Here is a 23,417-nt window from a genome sequence, read left to right as displayed (position 1 = left end):
AGTCTCAGGTTCCTCATCTGTGAAATGAGGGTAGAGCTACCTCAAGTATTGTGAGGATTAAAGGAAGGAATGAATACAAGTTGTCTAGCATGATGCCCAGCACACAGTTAGTGCCCCTTCCAAAAAATGCTGTGATTTTTACTGTCTATAGGCTACATTGGCATTAGGTACATCGAGACAGGAGAACAATAGACAGCTGTTGCAACAGTACAGGTATCAAGCGACATAGTTAAATAGGGCATAGAGGTTAACATTTTTTATTTTGCATTTAAGCAAAATTTTAGAGATACTCTTCTCTCCTTCTGCTAACCTAGCTTTGTGACACTAAAATTGGAGTTTGGAATGAAGGTAGGGGGACTTCCGGGAGTTTCCAGACACTTCAGGGACTTTCTGGGAAGTCTGTATGCCAGTGGTATACAGACATTTAAATCTGGTACAAATATTTAAATCAAGAATTCTGCATGACAATCAGGGGTCAAGTGAATCCCTTTTAGATGATAGCATTTAGAAAATACTTCACCTAACATAACAAAGTGATTATACTTAAATTTGAGATCTGAAATAATATTTATGTTTTTAATTATAACACCTTATAACCTATACATCTCTGTATGGTTTGTAAAAGTTCTCACACATGAAACCTCATTCCAGCTCAAACTCTCTAGGCTAGATAAACAGGCATTACTGCACCATGTCGCTCTGCTCAGTGTAAAGGAATGTGAGGTCATTAAAAATGTTCCACATGTTTTCCTCTCTTACTTTAACCCTTCTCTAGCAACCCGTAATATGTTTGGATCTTAAACCTTCTTTTCTATGACTGAGACCATTTTAAACCCTTCACAAATAGAAGAGACATTTCTAGGGTTTTCCTACAGTTTCCTACAGTTCAGTTACCAAGGAGACCATTTCCTTAAAATCTCTTTGTTTCTAGAATTGGAGGGTCACAGTACGGAACACGGTGATGCCTCTCATTCACACAATACATGTATTAAAATTCAATTGAGAAGTTTAATTTTGTTTAGTTTTGGGGAGGGGGCTTGGTTAGAATTTTGTGATCTTTGAGATCTCACAATTCTCTCACATCTGCTTAGTCCTCCTTTCCTTTTCCCAGGGATTTAATTCTGCTAAAGACCAAGGAAGTTTTCCTGCTTTAAAAAGTAACATCCTTTGACTCACAAATGTAATGTTAAGGAAAAGAAGTTAGACACAAAAGGCGTATAGTATATGATTCCCAAGTGCAAAAACAGGCAAAACTAATCTACAATTTAAGAAAGCAGAAGAGTGTTAGCCTTGGCGGGGAGCAATGATGGGAGGTGGGGGCAGGGGAGAAGAGAGTGGGACTTAGGGAGTCCTAGTCGTGATCTTTTTCTTGAGCAGTGTGCTGAATTCCTGGCTGGTGGAAACAAATCAGTGCTTTAAATGCCAGGATAAAGCTCTGGTATTTAAGATGTACTTTCCCCTAAAATAATGAACATTTAAAATAACACTTTACTTCATACGCATTAAAGTTACAGTAAGTTTTGAAACTAGGGCACATGTTACTAATTTTCCACCAAAATGCCAATGGCCAAGGAGAGTAAATGTGGACCTCCAGAGGGGTCCAGGGGCGCAGGCTACAGCACACACTCCAGTGTGAAATGGCTCTATGTTTCAAATTTGGTTTTTTTAAAAATTCCTAAGAACGTTTACATTCTCTTTTGTATTATCTGGGTTTGCTTAAATATGAGAAAGATTTCAAACATTGCTTCTCACCTTCAAACAAATCCTAATTAAATCTTCAAGTAAAATTAACTGTCTGGGAAAATAACTCATGAATACCCTGTGGGGGTAGGAGTCCTCTAGTTGGAGAGGGCTGACTTAGAGTTTCCTAACCCTGTCACGTGCATTATCCAATGTTCAAATGGTGAGAACATCAGACTATGAGTGAGAAGACTTGGATTTCAGTCTTAACTCTGCCACCCCCAGCTGTGTGATCTTGGGCAAGTCAATGTCTCAGAACCTCAATTTCTTCATTTATAAGCTGTGGAAAATAATGGGTATCCAACATGTGGTTGGCTGACAGGTTCAAACAGAATTATGTGCCACTTTGCCACACCGAACACATTTTTAGAATAAAGCTGGATCCACTTCATTCTTTGATGGAGAACTTCTGGTGGGGTGAGCTACAGAGAAGAGGCCATCCAAATGGGCTTACCATGGGGTGTTATGTGTGTGTTAGCTTTAAAGTCCTGAGCAAAACTCTGCTGCTTTGACTGTAGCCTGTCCAGAAAGACCGTCTGTCATAAACTTGCTATTTCTTTGTGCTGCTGTTACCTGGTATGTTTAAGTAATGAAACAGCTGCTGCATTTCAATAGACAAAGGCTTACAGTATGTCTGAGGCAAGGCATTTATTGCTAGGCTTTAAACTTCTTAAACAATTCCATATGGAGATTTGAGTGGCAGAACACTTAATGTAAACTTTCAAAGGAAACTGCCCACCAAATTCTGAACTTTATGAATGTTGGCTGAAACATATTCTTTTTCAGAAGGCCGAAACATATTCTTTTTCATTCCCATTTCAAAGAGGAAAGGCCAGAACACCGCTTTTGATAGACCAGGAAGAAATAGAGGACCGTGTTTTAGGCATTTATTGATTCTGGAGGAACAATTAGCTTTTTGATCCAAACTCATTTAAAGATGCAGCAGGGTTAAGTGAATAGAATTTAGAATTAGGAGTCAAAAGACTAGTTTTCTCGTTGTGATTTTATTATTAGTTCTTTCATTTGAAGATCTCTTCACTTTGAATCAAGTTAAAAAATCAATACATCTAGATGGCACAGTGCTGGGTGTTCACTGTTTCAGTTTCCTTGGACTCAACAGGTCACGTGTGGAATGAACAAAATAGGCTTGGGCATTCTGTACAATAAGATGCCACGACAATATGACTACATTAATAAAAGAGATATATATTTTTCATATATAGAATTATACATATATAATTTTAAAATATATGTATTATATATAAAACTATACCTTTTTATATATGTTTAAAAAGCACATAAAATAATACCCAAGAAAAGCAGTCATTCTAGATATGTAAAACTAACTTCTGGTAGATACAAAAAGTTAAATTTCAAACAAAGCCACAATTTCATAAGAATTCAGCACTACATGATACTTTCGCCTTCTCCACATTCCTATTAGTTTTTACTTCAAGATTTGACCTTGGTGATCAGATCTTAATTGAAGTCTCCTTTCTCACGACTCTTATGTGAGGTCTCTCTCAAGACAACTATCAGAACTTTACCTCCGAGGATAATATCCTGTAGGTGGAGGTTTAGCCATTTCATTAAAACAAGAAAACACACCAGTGAAGAGTGAGGGAAACTACCCCTGCATTTCTTTCTTTCTTTCTTTCAGTGTGTGTGTGTGTGTGTGTGCGCATATGTGTGTGCATGTGTGTATGTTTTTCTTGAGAAGGTGAAAGTAGGATAGATTTGCAATAGGGGTTTTTTGTTTTTTTTTTTTTTCCTTTTAGCTAATTTGTGTCAAGCTACTCCTCACAGCTATAGGCAGGAAGTGCTATTTCCTGTGCTGATGATTTAATATAGTGCAGAGCAAAGCAGCGTTTGAACTGATGGCAGCACTAATGACTCTCGGTGAAACAGTGAAAAGATAAATGATCCTTAATCAGGAAAATGTTTAAATAAGCAAGTGCCTGGATATACCACAGCAAAACAACCTGAATTCATTTAAGTAAATGAAGAAGGTAATTTTAAAAATACACAGACTATTTGTTTAGTACTTTATATTTTTCTAAATGGCTTATAGCCACTTTTATTATAATCTCTGATGGCTCTGTGAGGTACCTCACTGTAGTTTTAGAAGAAACTGACTTCAACTCAAAGGGGCGAAATGATTTGCTTTAGGTTACACAGAAAGCCATTGGTCAAAAGAATACAATTCATAGTTCCCACATTTCTAATTTATTGCTTACCTGTTGCTGATTCTTCAAAGCATCCAGCTAACCTTGTTTGAATACATACGTGTATGAAAATAGTGTTAGTTAAAAATAAGATTGTTCACATGAGTGCTTGGGGTTGCTTACAGTCAAGGAATGCAGAGATCATGGACAATGAACGGACTGTCGTATTTAGAAATAAAATTTTGAAATTAACCATGAAATATGAACAAGGGCTATTTACAGTTCTTAAATAGGCAGCCATATTAATTTCTTACAATTATATTTTTCACAGTACTTTCATTTGTACCATCTTCTGGAACAAATCCCTAAGTCAGATACACTTACTACAATTAGTATTTTACATATGGAGGAAACAGACACATGAAAGAGACTCACCTTAGGTCAACAGAGTCTGTAGCAGAACCAGATTTAGAACCCAGATTTCTCCTAAATTCTACTTTGGGGCTCTTTTTAGTACTTTGCCATCTAATTTTAATTTCTTACAAGTAATGCTCATAATTTATCATTGGATTAAATAAAAAGATGTCCTTAGAAGATAACTAGGAATAAAATTATTGGTGTCTCACTTGTCAAGATTCAGAAAAGCCCCCTATAAAACACCTCATTATAACCTATCTTATCTAAAAGACTATTTCTCAAATAACTTGTGGTATTATTTGTACTGTAAAAAGTTAACTACCAAAAGAACTAAATCAAACATAATTTAAGTATCATACTCTGACTACTATAAATAACCTTGAAAAGGTTATTTAGACCCATTGATGGCTAGTCAAGCAGGATTTTCAGATTTGAGGTTATAGCATCCTTACCTTAGAAAAATAAAATTCACTGAGTTTTTAATCCGAGGGAATAAAGCAAGAAGCCCTTTCCCAGGTTAAAATAGCATTCCATAGATTTTAGAAGCTGAAAATAATCATATTAACATATTTTATATATGTGTGTGCACATGCATGCACACGCATGGGCATAGGAACAAATATATCCTTTGCCTTTAGTCTCAAAGTCTAGGAGCCAGGGCATCTGGTTTCTTTGCTGGTTTTGCAATTAATTTACATGATGCCCAGGATTATGGTGTTTTTGTTTTGCTTTATTGTGAGCAAACTCACACTCTTCTAGAAGACAGCCAATGGGGAATACCTCAGTCCTATAGCTAGAAGTTTTAAGTTTTCTTCCCTAAGTTCTCTTTCACTGGTCAGTCACATATCACGTCTAATGGAAAATGATGAACCTGGGTAATATTATTTGAACTATCCAGAAAATACACAAAGAAGCTGAAGATAATATGTGCAACTTCCACACTCGGATGGGTTAGAAGTTAAATGGAGGTAGTTTATAATCACTTACGTTATTGATCATAAGGTGCATTATTGTTTTTGGAATTAGATCTCGGATACATTTGTTGATAATGGACATGTAGGAGTCTACGAGGTTGCGAATGGTCTCCACTTGCCTCTCCAATTGTGGGTCCATGGAAAAGTTTTCTGCTTGTCCATTCTCATCATTTTCAGCCTAAAAGAAGAGAAAACAAACCATGGATTATCTCATATTCACTCAGAAGAAAATAAAATGTCAGTCGTTATCAGATTATCAACTTCTGATTAGCATAGTTGGAGTTTATATCAGTAGATGGTAACATTTTTATCTTATGCATCCACTGGTTCTGAAAGGAGATGGGGGAACCTGCCGTTATTACTCAATTTTTAGCCTGCCACATTCTAGGGAAAGCAAGTAAGTATTCTAATTCTGAATGAAGGTTGAGATGAATAACCAAATAAACAGTGTACCTAACAACATACCTCCAGAGAACAATCTAATCTTAAGCCATTTGCAAGCTGGCCAAAGAATTGAATCCAAACATATGATGCAAATGTAAACCTCTGAGAGGAGTCTCCAGGGAAGCTATAGATTAGAAATAACCTTGGTATTGTTCTGGCACTTCTAGGTCTGCTCTGGGATGGATCAGCATTTGGATCCTCCCACATTCAAAGCTAAATTTTGTAGGGCTGCCTGAAGCCAAAATAAGAGATATAGAAGATAATTTATTCTTCCATGCACTTGCTGGAATTTGTTACGTAAATTCATGCTTCTGTCATCACTACTAAAGACTGGCTCCATTGTGAAAAACTTACAATTATTACTTCCAACTTGTTATTCTTTGAATAAAACAGAACACATCTATACACAAAGAATTTATTTGTGCAACATGAGAAAAGCATCTGTTTCCTATACTATGAGACTTGAGTTAATTAATGTTGGCTTATCCACCAGAGGCTGAGCTGGAATGGCTTCTTCATCATTAAGGGCTGACCTATTGGCTTGGCATTGAAATCAATTTAGAACAAATGGTCTCCATTTCAAGTCAGCTTGAACCATCTAAGCCCCAGAACATGACACAGGTATTATTGTTAGTGGTCTGGCTACTTTCTAGCATTTGGAAAGATTTAATTATGAATGTAAAATGGGGAAATAATTTATTGCTTCCATGTAGACACGAAGTGCTTTTCTTTGGAAATGTACATACTTTGATTTTCAATCATCCAATCAGTTCTAGGCATAGCACTGTGCTAAATAGCTTTACTGGATATTAAATGATAAGCCTTTCCTTTGAATCAATATGCTTGTGTGAAAAGCATATTGATGGGCCACAAAATCAACAATATTGATAGAATTGGTTCTAATCATTTATATAGGCTTCTGTCACTCAGAAATGTCTATTGTTCTAAAAAACACATTAAAATAATGCATGCTCAACTCATTTCCCAGTCCTGAGAGCATGACCTCATGATTTGGGACTACAGTATGAGGACATTTCTGAGGCTCCAGTGCATTTAGGGCCTCCAGGAAAGCCTACTTGTAAGAGAAAGCACAGACCAGAGAAATTCCAAGTTGAGGAGTTAGGAGCTACTACAACTTGATGATAATGAGGATGATAAAGTGATTATGAAATATATATATATATATATATATATATATGATATATATCAATGAGAGCAGATGATGACCTACAGCTTTCTGAAGAAAACATCTTCTATATAAAGAAATATAAGCCTCCATTAGGAATACAACACAATTCCATTTGTCTCTCTGATCTAAAACATTCTTGGATTTTAGATTTTGCCGTTGTGTTTAGCAGTACCAGGTAATGGCATTTCAGCATAAACCTACTACCACTTCCCAGGAACATTTATTGAGCAAATATTGTATTCCAGGTACTGTGCTATGTACTTTATATAGATCTGTAGCACAACCTTAGGACAGGGGTATCATCGTAATTGTCAACCCATATAAGAATATATTCAAGCTCTGAGAACTGAAATTTGTTCAATAAATGTTAGATAAATATTATTTTAAGTCAATTTTTTCCTTAGGTATTAAGAAACCAGAACATAAAGAGAGTTTCTAGAAAAATTCCTTAAAGTACTGATAGTTATAAAAAATAAATAATTGAGCTAAAGGAGAAAAGCAGAATAAATAACTTGTTACATTCACCTCGAGGAATATGAAACACCAGGAAAATTATATTAGCATCCACATTTTCATATAGAAACACTAAATTTCCCCATTTTACAGCTTTCTTAACATGTAACCATGCTTCACTTTTTTGCATATCAAAATAAGCAAAAGACACTGACTTTCACTTTTTGAAACCAGATGCAATTAGAAAACAAAGTGTCAGAGTGAATAGAGAACTCTGGTTTAATTCTTAGCATTAAAAAAAATTGAGAGGCTTTAGTAAATAATCAGTAAAACAATTTGAAATTCTTCTTAGCTTTTGGAAATACTTGCAGACATGTAGTGACATGCAAATCTTAACTATTCTGATAATACAGTGGACATGATGGGGAGTCACAGAGTTCAGTATGCAAATTTGATTTATTTCCTCATTTTAGAAAAAAAGAAGCAGTAAACTGCCCCTTCTACCAATGTCTAAGATGAACGGGAAAAATGCATATAAATGGAATTTTTCTTTTACGTGAGTAATTGCAGAGAGCAACACTTCCTTTTCTCTAACCCCAGTTCTAACCAAATTCTCCATTGTGCTCTTTTCTGTATGTATATTGTGTATGACTATATTTTTTCTTTGTTTAAATTATAGGATTGCAATAAGGTTCTTTGCAGTTGAAGCACTGAAATGACAGCTGTTTATCATTATCCTCATCAAGGAAATGTAAAATAAAAATAGTAATTTGTCTCTGATCTTTGAGGCAAAAAAGAATGGTCTGCAAACATTTAACCTTTTATGTGCAGGTTCAATGATGCTGTTTAAAAAACGTGAATAATATTGTAGAAACCAGCTTGTTTCTAAAAAATACAATAGACAGTCCTTCCTATTGCAGTTTTTAAAAATAGCTATTGAGAAATCTAATTTAACCAATAAAAACACCAGCATTGTAAATGTGAAGTCATTTATAAAAATTACCATAACTTACTTTCTCCGAAATTATTTGCATGGTATTTAAGAAACAGGCTGTTATATAAAGTTTTAAGTTATTTAAAACATATTTTTATAACTACTATTATTATTTTTGTTTTTAGAGACAGAGTCTTGCCCTGTCATCCAGGCTGAAGTGCAGTGGCGTGATCATAGCTCACTGCAGTCTCGAACCCCTGAACTCAAGGGATCCTCCCATATAGCTGTAACTACATGCCACGCCCAGCTAATTTTGCCTTTTTTTTTTTTTTAGAGATGGGGTTTTGTTATGTTTCCCAGGCTTATCTCAAATTCCTGGCTTTAAGCGATGGTCCCGCCTCAGCCTCCCAAGTAGCTGAAAATTTTAATTTAAAAGCTTTCTTTTAAAGGTTTACTACTTTAACAGGTGAGGGAATGAAAGTGTTGAATCAGAAATAATTCTCACCATACCTTGGGGCGTCTATTATAGAAGCACTGGGCTTGACTGGAATGTCTTTCAGGTGTTTTGTTTTTGTCTTTTCCCTTTCCTTAAATCTCTTATTTAATCATGTCATAGACTTATTTGAAGACTTTTTCTTAGTAAATCAGGTCATCACGATGAAAACACTGTTACCATGGTAACGTACCTGTGAATTTTTCCAGCCCTACATTATCAAGAATGGTTTCACTGAAAACCTCTCTCCACTGCCAATCATTCACTTCTAATTTGATGAGGCTGGAAGGGTATGGGTTAAGATAGTGTTGATGATGCTCACCCCACCACCAACAGTGGTCTACAAATACTGTGAGACAAAACATGTGTTTCCAAAAGCTACCAGGATGACCAAATATAGTCCTATGAGAAATGCCTTACAGACATAAAACAATTGTGCTATTGATCATGATGAAGGCTGTTTTTGACTCAGAGCGATTCCTCTGCTACTGTTAATTCTGTAACACCATCATCATCATGTTTACATACTCAAATAATGAAATACTATAATCACAAGAAAAACCCCCGTGGTTTCATTTATAAGAAGATAACACTTAAAGATTAGGGGGAAAATGACACAAGAGTAATCTATATTTTAGGAATTCTACTTCCATCACCTAAAAACTTGTAACTGTAAAGAAATTTTAAATTATTGTATCCTTTATACTATTTGTTTAACAGGCACTTTTAAAGCTCATTCAGTTTAGAATCAGGGTATTAAGGGATTATAAGGTCTACGCAATAAAGAACTAGGTCTGTTTACAAAGATTGAAAGATGGACAAAGGTATGAAACAAAAATCACAGATATTGTAAAGCAAAATCTGTCAATTGTTTTGTTCTTCAAAATCATTTACATGGATGAGTATAGATGCACTATATCAAAGTTAATAAAGTCCTAGAGAAAGCAGGGGCAATAAAATTCAAATAATATGAAAGCAGCATGGGCCGTCATAATAAACTACATAGCAAAATAATAGCATAGGTATGCAGTTGATCTTATTTACCTTTTCTTTACATTATGAGGAAGAAAATCTTTCAAAGTTCAATGTAAATACAATTACACTTGCTTTACATGTAAAAACTTCTTAGTAAAAACAAAATAATACAAAGCATTAAAGCAACCAAAAAAACCACACACAACTGTAAAATTCTGTGAGTAGAATCATTTCTTTCTGGAGTACAGAAGAAAAACGAAGCCGTTAAAAAAGCAGCTATAATCAGGGGTTTTAAGCTTCCCTGATGTTCACTGAATACTGTAGTTGATAAAGCTGTCACCTACATCCAACTACAGAACTCCCGAAAGGCCTGAAGATAACTTTTTCAACTATTCCTACACATGAATTACTGAGTGCACCTTCTCAGACATTCCCAGGGCCCAAGAGCCTTAGTAGATGATCAAGATTAAAAAAAGACCTGAAGGCTGTTTTAGGAAATTTAAGTTAATTTTTGTTGAAAGGAAAGATGAAAACAAAATCAGAAGAAATTTGCTAGGTTGAGCTGTTGCAAATTTCTTGTTTCCAATATTCAAAGATAGAACATTATGTGATAATAGCACCAGACCACAGCTGAGTCATCATACAGACAACACGTACATGTCCCAAAGTTGGGGAGCTACTTCCAAAGTTGCCAAAACCAGAACTTCTTCTGTCACTGTAAATGCTCATACCCAACTAAAAAATAAATTAAAATTTAAAGGAGCTTATCTCAATTTAGGCAAACCTTTAGTTTACAGAAAAATAACTTTGTGAAGATGATAAAAATATACTGAGAGTTCTATAACTACTAATATTCTGAAGAAGATTGCTTAGACAAAGATCTATATTCTTGGAGTAATAATCATTGGGTCTGGAGTTTTTTTTCTTTTGTTACTTCTCTCTCTCATTCTTCTGAAATTGAATGTGTGTATGTTGCCTGTTTGACAATCTGGAGGATGTAAAGTACAAAAAAACAAAACTATCTTTGCTTTACCCTAATTCTGGTATTTACCTTGGCTATCAGATTTGTCTACATTTTATAAAGTGGCAAAAACAAAGAGAGTCAAGATTGCTTAAAGATCAACAACTATGGCTGCATTTATAATAAAAATTAAAACTATTCTAAGGCAAATTTTATAGAAGGATGCAATTATTATTTGAAACAATTCTGTATTATTTTAAATTTTGTAGTGTATCAGATTGTCCTGAGTGCTTTATTAATAAGATTTGTAAGTATTACGTGAGGTGTAAGAGATAAAGCTGATGTTGGTTTTTAAAAGCTTTTTTCCTTAGACTATTTTTAAAGTAGTTTAGGAGAAGAAATCAGATTGCAACTGCTAGTAAACATTAATGAGTTTATAAGTCTAAATGACTTTTATGACTGGGATCAAGATGTTTCTTTACAAAGCAATAAGGTGACAGGAGACTAAAGATGCGAATTTTGCTAAGAAAGCATTATTACTGCATGTATTTACATTGTCCCTCAAATTTCTCTTTTTTTAACCATGGCTTCAAAATTTCTACAAATACTATTGTTAGTGAGTACTATGTTTTTTCCTCTGCCAATTGTTTATGTCTATTTAATCCATATAAACACTTTTAGAATAGACATAATGCTTTCTGAATTAAAGGTGTTTTAGTTAAATGAAATATTTGATAAAATGGCTTTTCTTAAAAATTCTCATCACAGGCCATGGTGGCTTGTGCCTGTAATCCTAACACTTTGGGAAGCCAAGGTGGGTAGATCACTTGAGCTCATGAATTTGAGACCAGCCTGGGCAACATGATGAAACCTGGTCTCTACAAAAAATTTAAAAATTAGCCAGGCATACTGGTGCATGCCCGTAGTTCCAGATACTCAGGAGGCAGAGGTAGGAGGATCACTTGAGCCTGGGAGGCAGAAGTGGGAGTGAGCCGAGATCACACCACTGCACTTCAGCCTGGGTGACAAAGCAAGACTCTCTTTCCAAAAAAAAAAAAAAAAAAAAAAAAAATTAATTACAAGATTTCATACTACATTGGGGGCCAAATGAATCAAAAGTGATATGGTAACATTATCTATCTAATTAAATATAATTTCTAGCAATATTCTTTAATCACTTATAAACTACCTGGCAATAAACATAAAATAGAAAGGGCATGACACATAGTTTTAGAGGGTTCATAAATGAATGCATATGGCTTAAGGTAGCATATAAGATAGCTTCACATAACATCAAGGTGGTATGTTTAAGATAAAAGATGAATTAAAAATAAATGAAATAATTCTGGATGGTAAATCTTGCTGTTTTAATAGAATTCTTGTCAAATTTAATTATATTTTTCATATTATTGTGAATACCATATTCTACCATCTGTAGGAGGATTACCAAATCACAGAAGCTATAAGAAAAACTGGATCATACACCTATTTGCAGAATTCATCAAATATAAGTTTGTAGGGACATGGATGAAATTGGAAATCATCATTCTCAGTAAACTATCGCAAGAACAAAAAACCAAACACCGCATATTCTCACTCCTAGGTGGGAATTGAACAATGAGATCACATGGACACAGGAAGGGGAACATCACACTCTGGGGACTGTTGTGGGGTGGGGGGAGGGGGGAGGGATAGCATTGGGAGATATACCTAATGCTAGATGACGAGTTAGTGGGTGCAGCACACCAGCATGGCACATGTATACGTATGTAACTAACCTGCACAATGTGCACATGTACCCTAAAACTTAAAGTATAATAATAAAAAATAAATAAATAAATAAATAAATAAATAAAAAAGTAAAAAAAATAAAAAATAAAAATAAAAATAAATAAAAATAAAAATAAAAATAAAAATATCTGCCTGACTTAGACAGAATACCCTGAATGCTCAATCCACTTTGGTTTGAGGGAAATGTGGAATAGTGATTAACAGTATGAACTACGGAATTAGATGACCTGTATTATATCTTGGCTCTGTCACTAATAAGCTTTGTGACTTTAGTGAGGTTAGTTAAGAAGTTACTCAACCTCTCTAAGCCTTAATTTCTGTGCTTATAAGTGGAGGTAATATATGCACATTATACATTTTATAGGACAGGGCAGGTGTGATATCACCAAGTGAGAATAATGCAGAAAAGGCACTTACCACAGTGTCAGACATATAGTAGTGCTCAAAAAAAGTGAACCATTTTTATTATTTGAGATAAATGATGTAAATGACATAAGCGACATCTCAGTTTACAATATTTATATATACGAGCTTGAATTAAAAAAAGAATTCAGAAGGTTCCTTGCAGACAGACTCTCCTTCTTTAAGCGTGTTTTCTAAATCAGAGAAATAAATCAGGCTACAATCTTACTAATGAACATTTGTGGGTTTATTATACCAAATGTGTCAGATTCTTTGCTACCTATCTGAATATGAGAACACTGACAATCTTCAGAAGCCCTTTCAGTTGTCAGCCCTGACATTTTGCAACTGGGAGAAAAGGAAAATGTATTTAAGTCAAAACTATTCCAAAATAGCAGGTATTTAAGGAGCACCAATTCACTGCAAGAATTCAAGAGAATTCTGCTAGACATGCTAGAAAAAGAATAGAGCATTAATGAATGAGAAAGTGGGCTAAAAGTGATGGCTTTTGAGAATTATTCCAAAGACTTTGTGATTCAGTAGTGTGTCAAACCCACAGATACAAACACTTCTATTCGTTCTGAAATTACCAGGCTGTAAAGAAAGATATATAGATTTGCTGGTCAAAAGACAAAAATAATAGCTTTCTCTGAAATGTTCCTAGGAAGGCAGACAAAGAAAATAATTAACAGTCATCAGTTTTCAAATGCCTTCACATATACCATCTCAGTAGATCCTCACAAATATCTTGTGAGACAGAAGTACAGGGAGAAATAAATGATATGGTATGGAGTTAGACCAGTTGCTTCTACCACTTACTAACTCTGGAGTCTTGGGCAGGTTAATTAATCTCTGTGTGCTTCAGTTTTCTCTCAAATAGAGTAATACTACTACCTAAAATCTTCAAAGGGTTGTTGTATGGATTAAATAAATTAGTAGTGTAGAAATTCAGAAGAGTACCTGGCACAAAATAATCACTCAACAAATGTAGGCTGTTATCCTCTCTTTTGTAGAAAGAAGAAATTAAAGAAAAGGTAAGGGCTATGCCTGAGATCATAAAGATAGTAAGATCAAAATAGAACTCTGGTCTAATTTTCTTTGTGCACATTTCATCTTCTTTATATAGCATCTCACTGCTTTTGCTTATTAGCAATACCAAAATAAAACTTAGTACTAAAAGGGAAATATAGTAGAAAATGGCAAATTATTTAAAATGAGAACTTTTTCTTATTCTTTCAACAGGTGATGATACAGTGTTTTGGTGTCCCAAAGAAATAAAATCCAGCACTGTCCAATTGAAGTATAATGCAAGCCACATTTCTAGTAGCCATATTTTAAAAAGTAACAATAAAGTGTTGAAATTTACCTTAATACTGCCTTTTTTAACCAAATAGGTCCAAAATATTATTATTTTGACAGGCATTATGAGTTGAGTTGTGTCCCCCACAAAATTCATGTTGAAGCCCTAACCAGCAGTACCACAGAATGTGACTATATTGAGAGATGGGGTTTTAAAAGAAGTAATTAAGTTAAAATGGTTTCATTAGGGTGGGCCCTAATCCAATATAACTGATGTTCTTATAACAAGAGGCAATATGGACATGGGCACACACAGAGGGAAGATCATGTGATGACATGAGTCAAGAAGAGAGGCCTCAGAAGAAACCAACCTGACAACACCTGGATCTCAGACTTCTACCTTCTAGAATTGTGAAAAATACATTTATCTTGCTTAACCCACCTAGTCTATGATAATTTGTTATGGCATCTCTAGCAAACTAATACAATATGTAATCAATTAATGAAAATAAAATGTATTAATAAGATATTTTGCATTCTTTTATTGTAGAAAGTATTGGAAATCTAATGTATATGTTACACTTACAGCACATCACAACTGGAACTAGCCACATTTCTTTCTCTTGCCAAATAGTACTGGCTAGAACTTCCAGTACTATGTTAAATAAGAGTAGAGAAAGTGGACATCATTGTCTTGTTCTAGTTCTTAGAGAAGGAGCTTCCAGATTTTCCTTGTTTAGTATGATGTTAGCTGTGGTTTTGTCATATAAGCCCTTTATTGTGTTGAGTTAAATTCCTTCTAATTTATTGAGAGTTTTTATCATGAAGTGATGTTGAATTTTGTAAAAATTTTTATCTGTATCTATTGAGATGATTATATTGTTTCTGTCCTTCATTCTGTTGATGTGATATACCACATTTATTGATTTGTATATGTTGAACCATCCTTGCATCCTTGAGATAAATCCCACTTGATTATGGTGTATAATCTTTTTGATATGCTGTAGTATTCAGTTTGCTAGTATCTTGTCAAGAGTTTTTGCATCTATGTTCATCAGGGATATTGGCCTGTAGTTTTCTTTTTTTTCTTGCATCCTTCTCTGGTTTGGCTTTGTAATGCTGGCCTCATGGAATGAGTTTGAAAAAATTCCCTTCCATTTTCTGAAATAGTTTGAGAAGAATTGGTGTTAATTCTTCTTTTAAGGTTTGGTAGAATTCAGCAGCAAAGCCATTTGGTCCTGGGCTTTTCTTTGTTGGGAGACTTTAATTACTGACTCAGTTTCGTTACCGAATTGTTGTTCTGTTCAAGTTTTCCATTTCTTCCTGGTTCAATCTTGGTAGCTTGTATGTGCCCAGGAATGTATCCATTTCTTCTAGGTTTTCCATTTTTTGGTATATAATTCTTCATAAAAGTCTCCAATAATCCTTTGTATTTCTGAAGTATCAGTTGTAATATTTCTTTTTTGTGGTATCAGTTGTAATGTTTCATTTTTTCATTATGGATTTTATTTATTTGGGTCTTTTTGTCTTAGTTTAGCTAATGGTTTGTCAATTCTGTTTATCTTTTCAGAAAACCAACTTTTTGTTCCCTTGATCTTTTGTATTGTTGTTTTAATCTCTGTTTCTGCGCTGATCTTTATTATTTCTTTCCTTCTAATTTTGGGTTTGGCTTATTCTTGCTTTTCTAGTTCCCTGAAGTGCATCATTAAGTTGTTTATTTGAAATCTTTCTACTTTTTTGATGTTGGTGTTTATTGCTATAAACTTTCTTCTTACTACTGCTTTTGCTGTATTGCGTAGGATTTGATATATTATGTTTATATTTTCATTTGTTTCAAGAAATTTTTTAATGTACTTCTTAATTTCTTAATTTACCCTTTGGTTGTTTTGGAGCATGTTGTTTAATTTACATGTAATTGTTCAGTTTCCAAAGTTCCACTTGATTTTGATTTCTAGTTTTATTCCATTGTGATAAGAAAATATATTTCATATGATTTTGATTTTTAAAAATTTGTTGAGACTTGTTTTGTAGCCTAACATATGATCTATCCGGGGGCATGTTCCATGTGCTAATGAGAAGAGCACATATTCTGTAGCTATTGCATAGAATGTTCTGTAAATGTCTGTTAGGGTCATTTGATTTATAGTACAGTTTGAATCCAATGTATCTTTGTTGATTTTATGCCTAGGTGATCTATGCAATGCTGAGAGTGGGGTATTGTAGGACGCAAATATGTCCCTCCTCACATGGCAGCAGCAAGAAGAATGAGAGCCAAGCAAAGGGGGATGCCCCTTATAAAACCGTCAGATCTTGTAAGAATTTACTCATTCTCATGAGAATAGCATGGGGGAAACCACCCCCATGATTCAATTACATTCTACCAGGTCCCTCCCAAGACATATGGGAATTATAAGAACTATAATTCAAGATGAGATTTGGGTGGGGACACAGTGAAACCATAGCAGTACTCCTGCTCATTTTGGGTTTCTGTTTGTATGGAATATATATTTTCATTCCTTCACTTTCAGTCTATGAGTATCTTCATAGGTAAAGTGAGTTTATTGTAGGCGGCATATAGTTTGGTCTTGATTTTTAACCATTCAGCCAGTTGTTTATATCTTTTAATTTGGGAATTTAATCTACTCATATTCAAGGTTATTATTGTTAGGAGAGGACTTAATCTTGTCATCTTTTTTGTCTTCTCATTGTTTTGTATATCCTTTGTTTCTGTTTTTCCTCTCTCATTATTTATCTTTGCAGTTTGGTGGTGTTCTGACATGATAAGATTAAATTCCTTTCCCTTAATCATTTGTGTATCTGCTCTATAAGTGAGTTTCACACTTTTGCATGTTTTTAGGACGGTAGAATTATCATCCTTTTGCTTCCATGTGTAGGACTTCTTTAATAATTTTTGTAATGCTGGTCTAGTGGTGATGAATTTCCTCAGTTTTTGTTTGTCTGGGAAAGACATTATTTCCCCTTCATTTCTGAAGTATAGATTTTGTAGGTATAGTATTCTTGGCTAACATCTTTTTTTTTTCTTTCAGTGCTTTGAATTTATCATCCCATTCTTTCCTAGCCTATAAGGTGTCTACTGAGAAATCTAATGTTAGCTTAATGGGGATTCCCTTATCTGTGACTTAACACTTTTCTCTTGCTATTGTTGGAATTCTTTGTCTTTGACTTTTGTTACTTTGACTATAATGTGATTTGGAGAGGACCTTTTTGAACTTAATATATTTGGGGTTTTGAGTTTCCTGGATCTAGATATCTATATTTCTATCAAGACACGCAAAGGTTTCAGCTATTATTTCATTAAATAGGTTTTCTATGCCTTTCCTGAAATTCTCATACTGTGAATATTTGCTCAGTGGTGTCCCAATAGGTCCTGTAGGTGTTCTTAATTCTTTTTTATTTTTCTTTTTTTCTGACTGGGTTATTTCAAAATAGTCACCTTCAAGTTTAAAAATTCTTTCTTTTGGTTGATCTGGTCTATTGCTGAATCTCTCAATTGTATTTTTTATTTCAATCATTGAATTTGTCAGCTCCAAGATTTCTGTTTAGTTCTTTTTTATAATATGTATCTCTTTATTAAATTTCTCATTCAGAAAAATACAAAATGCTTCCTGAATTTGCATGTCATTCTTGTGCAGGGGCTGTGTTAATCTTTTCTATATCTTTCCAATTTTAGTATATGTGCTACTAAAGTGAGCACCCATGAATGATTTTCTAACTTGTAGGTTTTCCAGACATTCAGCTAGGTTCTGATATTAACTTACTGGCCATTTGATTGCTCATGAATATTCTAATCACAGAGACAAGACTCTTCTTCCTGAAATCAGATAAATTTGCTAATAATCAACATTTCACTGAAAAGAAGTTTTTTGGAGGGCTAATACTAAATTTATGAATTAAATTGATATTGGGGAAAGCCTCTGGAGTTTTCTTTGTATTTGGTTGGTTTTGTTTTGTTTTTCAAAAGCAAGGAATACTTTAGCATGTTTATTTATTCATTTTTTACTTTTTTTAGAAAAAGGGCCTCGCTCTGTTGCCCAGGCTGCAGTCATGTAGTGTGATCATAGCTCACTTGAACTTCTGGGATCAACTAATGCTCCTACCTCAACTTCCCAAGTAGCAGGGTTACAGGTGAATGCCACCATGCCCAGCTAATTAATTAAAAAAATGTTTTAAGAGACAAGGTCTTGTGATGTTGCCCAGGCTGGTCTCAAACTCCTGTCCTCAAGCAATCCTCCTGCTTAAGCCTCTGAACTAGCTGAGATTACAGGCATTAGCCACTTTATCTGGCACTAGCATGTCTGAATGTATATCTATTGAAGGTTGATGTTACCTGGATTATAATCCAGTTTTTAAAGCCATTACTCTTAAGACAAATCCTGTATCTTTAAAGATTATGACTTCTCACGTACAGTGTTTGGTTATTTTTTACTCATCTCTTTGCGCTCATCTACAGGATGTGCAACTCACAGATTTGCTTGCTATGTAGTCTTTAGGTATAAACAGGCAAAACACAGAACAGGCTTTACATAACTGTCTAAAGTATTGTTTTCTCACCTTGAGGTTTATGGATGTCTTTCTGGGGATAAGAAATTTTTAAATGACAATTTAAACATTTTTTGCCTCATTTTATTATAATCTTTAAAAATGCAACGACATCAATGTCTACATTATTTTCATTTCATGCATGAATATTTCAGTTGGTATTTCTAAAAGATAAAAATTCCTTTTCAAAACTCATAACCACAGTGCCATTATCACATCAAAAATATTTAACAAGAATTTCTTAACATCAATGACTGACTACTTTAAAAATATTTTTATTTGAGAAATTTTAAATATATGTAAAAGTAGATAGAATAGAAAGAATAGTACAAATTAATCTCTCGTTACTCAACTTCAACAATTCACCACATGGCCAACCTTGTTCCGTCTATACTTCTCAACTATTTTGAGGCAAACTCAGATATCACATAATTTTATCTGTAAATATTTCAGTGTATAATCCTAAAAGATAAGAACCCTTAGAAAACATAAACACAATACTATTTTTATTATCTAAAACATTAATAATTTTTTAACATTATTATACATTTAGTATTCATATTACACTTCCCCAGTTGTCTTTAAAGAATGTTTTTAAGGTTATGTGTTTGAGTTTGAATCGAAATAAGTCCATATACTGTGTGTATTAGTTCATTCTTGTGTTGTTATAAAGAAATACCTGAGACTCAGTAATTTATAAAGAAAAGAGGTTTAATTGGCTCAGGACTCTGCAGGCTGTACAGAAAGCATGATACTAGCATCTGCCTGGCTTCTGGGGAGGCTTCAAGAAACTTACAATCATGGTGGAAGGTGAAGGGGGAACAAGCACTTCACATGGCCAGAGCAGTAGCAAGAGAGGGAGCAGGGAGGTGCCACATACTTTTAAATGACCAGATTTTATAAGAACTCACTCACTGTCACTAGGACAGTACCAAGGGGAGATGATGCTGAAACATTCATGAGAAATCCATCCCCATGATCCAGTCACTACCCACCAGGCCCCACCTCCTACATTGGGGATTACAATTGACATGAGATTTGGTGGGGATACAGATCCAAACCATGTCACTGTGATTGGTAGATATTTCTGTTATGGCTATTTTAATCTTCAGACTTCTCCATCTCTCTATTTCTTGCTCTTGCAATTTGTTATTAAAAATTTTTTTTTGTCCTATAGATTCTGTCCAATCCCCCAGTGTGGATTTGGCTGATTGCATCCCCTGCATATCATTTAATGTGCTCTTCCACTCCTTGTATTTCCTATAATTTGGTATTTAGATCTGGAGGCTCAATAATTACTCCTTAACTGCCTCTTTTTGAGTTAGAAAAAGGCATCTACTTCAAAACTGACATGCAGACTAGATACTAATGTTGTACAGCAGAAAATGACCCCCTTATACACAGTGTAAACATAAGTTTCTGTTGTACTTGTAGAGTCTATCTTGGTCTAAACCAGTTTATTGAAGCACAGATAATTATTACAACTAACCCAGGCTATATATTAAACATTTAATATATGATGAGACATGCACTAGGTTTCTTTGGAGATTAAAGGGAAAGTCACAGCACAGTTTCTGCACCTAAGAAGTTTACCCTGTATTTGGGGAGGAGCCCATTAACAGGCCAAAAACAATGTGTCATAAAGATAGCATGTAATATGAACTAAGTGGTATGGTATAGCCTCTAAGTGTAATTAGCCTTTCAAGAGAGAAGAGTTTTCTAGAGGTTTCAGGAGCCAGGCAAGGCTATGGAAAGAAAGTGAGTGAGACTTGGCCTGGTTGTACTGGGGCATGCAGACCTTTAGAAGGCATCTAGGTGAGGGAAACAAAGGGAATGGAGGTGGAAATTAGTTTGATGTGTTAGGGAAAATACTGGGGAGGACATGGTAACAAATATATTGAGAAGAAGAGTATATGGCTGAATTGCAAAATGAGTGGTCAGATTGTGGAGAACTTGGGTTAGGCTAAGGAGATGAGATGACATGTGGTGGGCTTGAAAGGTCACCAGAAAGGATGTGCTCAAGCAGTGGTTTAGGAAGATTAGTATGGCAACTGCAGGCTGAATTTATTTAAGGAGAGTGAGACTGGAAGCAGGGAGATCAATTATTGTCTTTAGTAAGAAACTATGTGTGAAGTCTGAATCAAGTGGGTTTCTATAAAAATGGAGAGGTAACCAGTAGATCATAAAGGCATTCTCAAGAAGAAATTATTGGAAAATTGTGACAGATTGGATACAAAATCTATTAAGAGTAAAATAATATGCTCAGATGTCCAGTCTTGAAGACTGATATGGTGACTTCATAGATTGGGGCAAATAAACTGAGGCAGAGAAATCGGTTTTTATGGAAAAAATGAGTTTATTTTTTAGTAAATTTTGTAGATGCAAAGGACATATCTGGTGGCAACTGGAATCACAGAATGAGCATTCAGAAGCCACAACAGAAAATGTAGATTTAGAAATCTTTCATACAAAATTGGAAGCTGGAGCCATAAGAATAGAAAACATTCTTAAAAGCAATGAGTGTACAGAAAAAAACAAATTTGTCTTTGTGTTTAGCAAAGTGCCTGGCCTAGTGTGAGTACTCAGTAAATGCTTTCAGAATGGAAGAATAAATAATGGAATGAAACAAGAAAGAGAGGGAGGAAAGTATTTGGGGATGAATATTCACAGTTAAGGAGGTGGAAGAAGTGCCAGCAAAGGAGACCATAAGGAGTTAAAAAAAAGGTGAGGAGGGTTCAAAGATCATGCATCATCCCAGGCTACTTTAGATAAAAAAGCTTTCAAGAAAAAGGCAGTCATTAACAGTGCCAGATATTGCTAAGAGGTTAAATAGAATGAGGGCTGGCAATGGCTTTGTCTGAATGATGGAAGAATCTTTAACAGAGCTTTTCTGTGGGGATGGGGGTTTGTGGATAGGATTAAAGGGGGGCCAGAAGCTGGATTAGGAGGGTGAGGTGCAGAATGTGGAAAGGGGGCTGAAAGAAAGTATAAGTCATACTGTGAAAGTTTGGCAGAAAAATGAAGGGAATGGCACGGTGTTTATCAAGATACCAGGGTTGGGTCAAAGATGTTTCTTTTAGGCCAGGGAAGACATGTGTATATATGAAGTTTAAAAAGAAGCCAGAAGGCAAAAGACTAAAGACACTAGAAATAACAACAAACAAATGAGATTCAGTATGCTGTACAGGAGAAATACTCGAAAAATTCACCTTTCATGCCATATTCCAGTTATACCAGACCTTTTGCTATTCCCAAATCAAACCATGCACATCACGACCTGGTGCCTTTAGCCATGTTGCCCCTTTGAATCTGAATGCCCTTTTGCCTGATATTTGATTGCTAAAATCTTTTCATTATTCAAGACCTGGCCCAAATGATCCCTCTTTCCTAGACACTCATAGCTTATTAAACATTTCTTATCGTTAAGGCTTTATATTCTTTTCATGTATTATTGTTAATTGCTTTCTAATAGGTCTTCTCCCCTGTATTTTAATGTATTACACACAGTTGGTACTCAATCATATTTAATAAGTGAAAGTGGAATTTTTCTTTTTAACAATTTAAAGGAAGAATAAGAAGAGAATGGTGGAAGAATGCTCAGCTGAGGTAAAGATAAAGGTATTGGGCAGCTTCTTCTGGTTGGCTTCTGTATTCTCTTAAGAGGTGACATTCTTGCCTACAGGAAAAGTGAGGGACAGATGTGATGGAAGATCATTTTTGGAGCAGGTGATTGGCTAGTCAACAAAGAGGTGAGTGAAAGGAGGGCAGGGTCTTATAAGTGTTGGGTATTTGCAATGGTCCAGATTTTGCAGCAAGTTTTCTTTTACTAAGCGTTCACGGTTGGAAGGACAGAAAAAGCATAAAGACCTAGCACTGATGACTTGTGTAGAAAGCTTCACCATAATCACTAATAAACATTTAACATAGAGAGGTGGCTATTGCAGAATGATGTCACAGACAACACTGAGATGCCAAACAGGGAGCTCAGGGTAAGGAGAGAACCTAACACTACTTGTCAGGTCAAGACTCTCAACTTGGCTGCTGGGAGAATTACCTGGGATGGCTTTAAAGACTATTGATACCTGGGCTCCACCCTCAAATATTATGATTTAATTGGTCTGGGGTGAAGCCAGGAGCATTTGCATTTTTTAAGTACTCCAGTTTGAGAACCCTGCAGTAAAGAGATATAAGTCTGGGAAAAGCAGGGGAGTTAAGTGATTGAAGGTTCTACTGAGGATAGAGTACAGGATGAAATAAAAATGCTATTTATGGTCTCAGGCCTGAAAATTCCCAGGAAAAAGAAGTGTCTGACTTAGCGTAAAAGAAAGTATCTATGTTTTAACATTCAAATGTGATCTCAGCTAGTTTCTACTAGACAGACATCACCATTCCCTGACCGTCATAATTGGCACTAAGGTAGGCAAATGGTTGAACGGGAAAGGAGAAGTTACGAAGCTTTCTTCTAGTCTCTACTTTAAAAAGAAAGTTGCCCCTCCCACATAAGCCTTACTGGTTCTTTCTGAGACCCAGTGAAACGAGAACAAGTGCAGAAGGGACACAGGATGCTCAGGAAATCCCATAGTGGGCCAGACCCAAGGTCAGCCACCCCAATAAGTCTCA

At 35.1% G+C, this 23,417-nt stretch overlaps 1 protein-coding gene and 1 pseudogene across 16 annotated transcripts in view; both read right to left on the bottom strand.

Moving 5' to 3' along the window:
• DNM3 (dynamin 3) overlaps nt 1-23,417 on the bottom strand; it is a 576,969-nt gene that overhangs the window by 33,975 nt on the left and 519,577 nt on the right. For all 16 annotated transcript variants that reach the window (NR_146559.2, XM_017000979.2, NM_001350206.2 and 13 more), the window contains one exon: nt 5,310-5,474. Coding sequence is in view for 15 of the 16 variants with exons in the window: in XM_017000979.2 (XP_016856468.1) it covers nt 5,310-5,474 (165 nt within the window). In the remaining variant the exon portion in view is untranslated. The remainder of the gene's footprint in view (nt 1-5,309; nt 5,475-23,417) is intronic.
• On the bottom strand, nt 17,846-17,952 carry RNU6-157P (RNA, U6 small nuclear 157, pseudogene; annotated as a pseudogene).

The sequence above is a fragment of the Homo sapiens genome, chromosome 1, assembly GCF_000001405.40.
Source record: "Homo sapiens chromosome 1, GRCh38.p14 Primary Assembly".
NCBI classification, from domain to species: Eukaryota; Metazoa; Chordata; class Mammalia; order Primates; family Hominidae; genus Homo; species Homo sapiens.
This window is presented reverse-complemented; position numbering and strand designations above follow the sequence as displayed.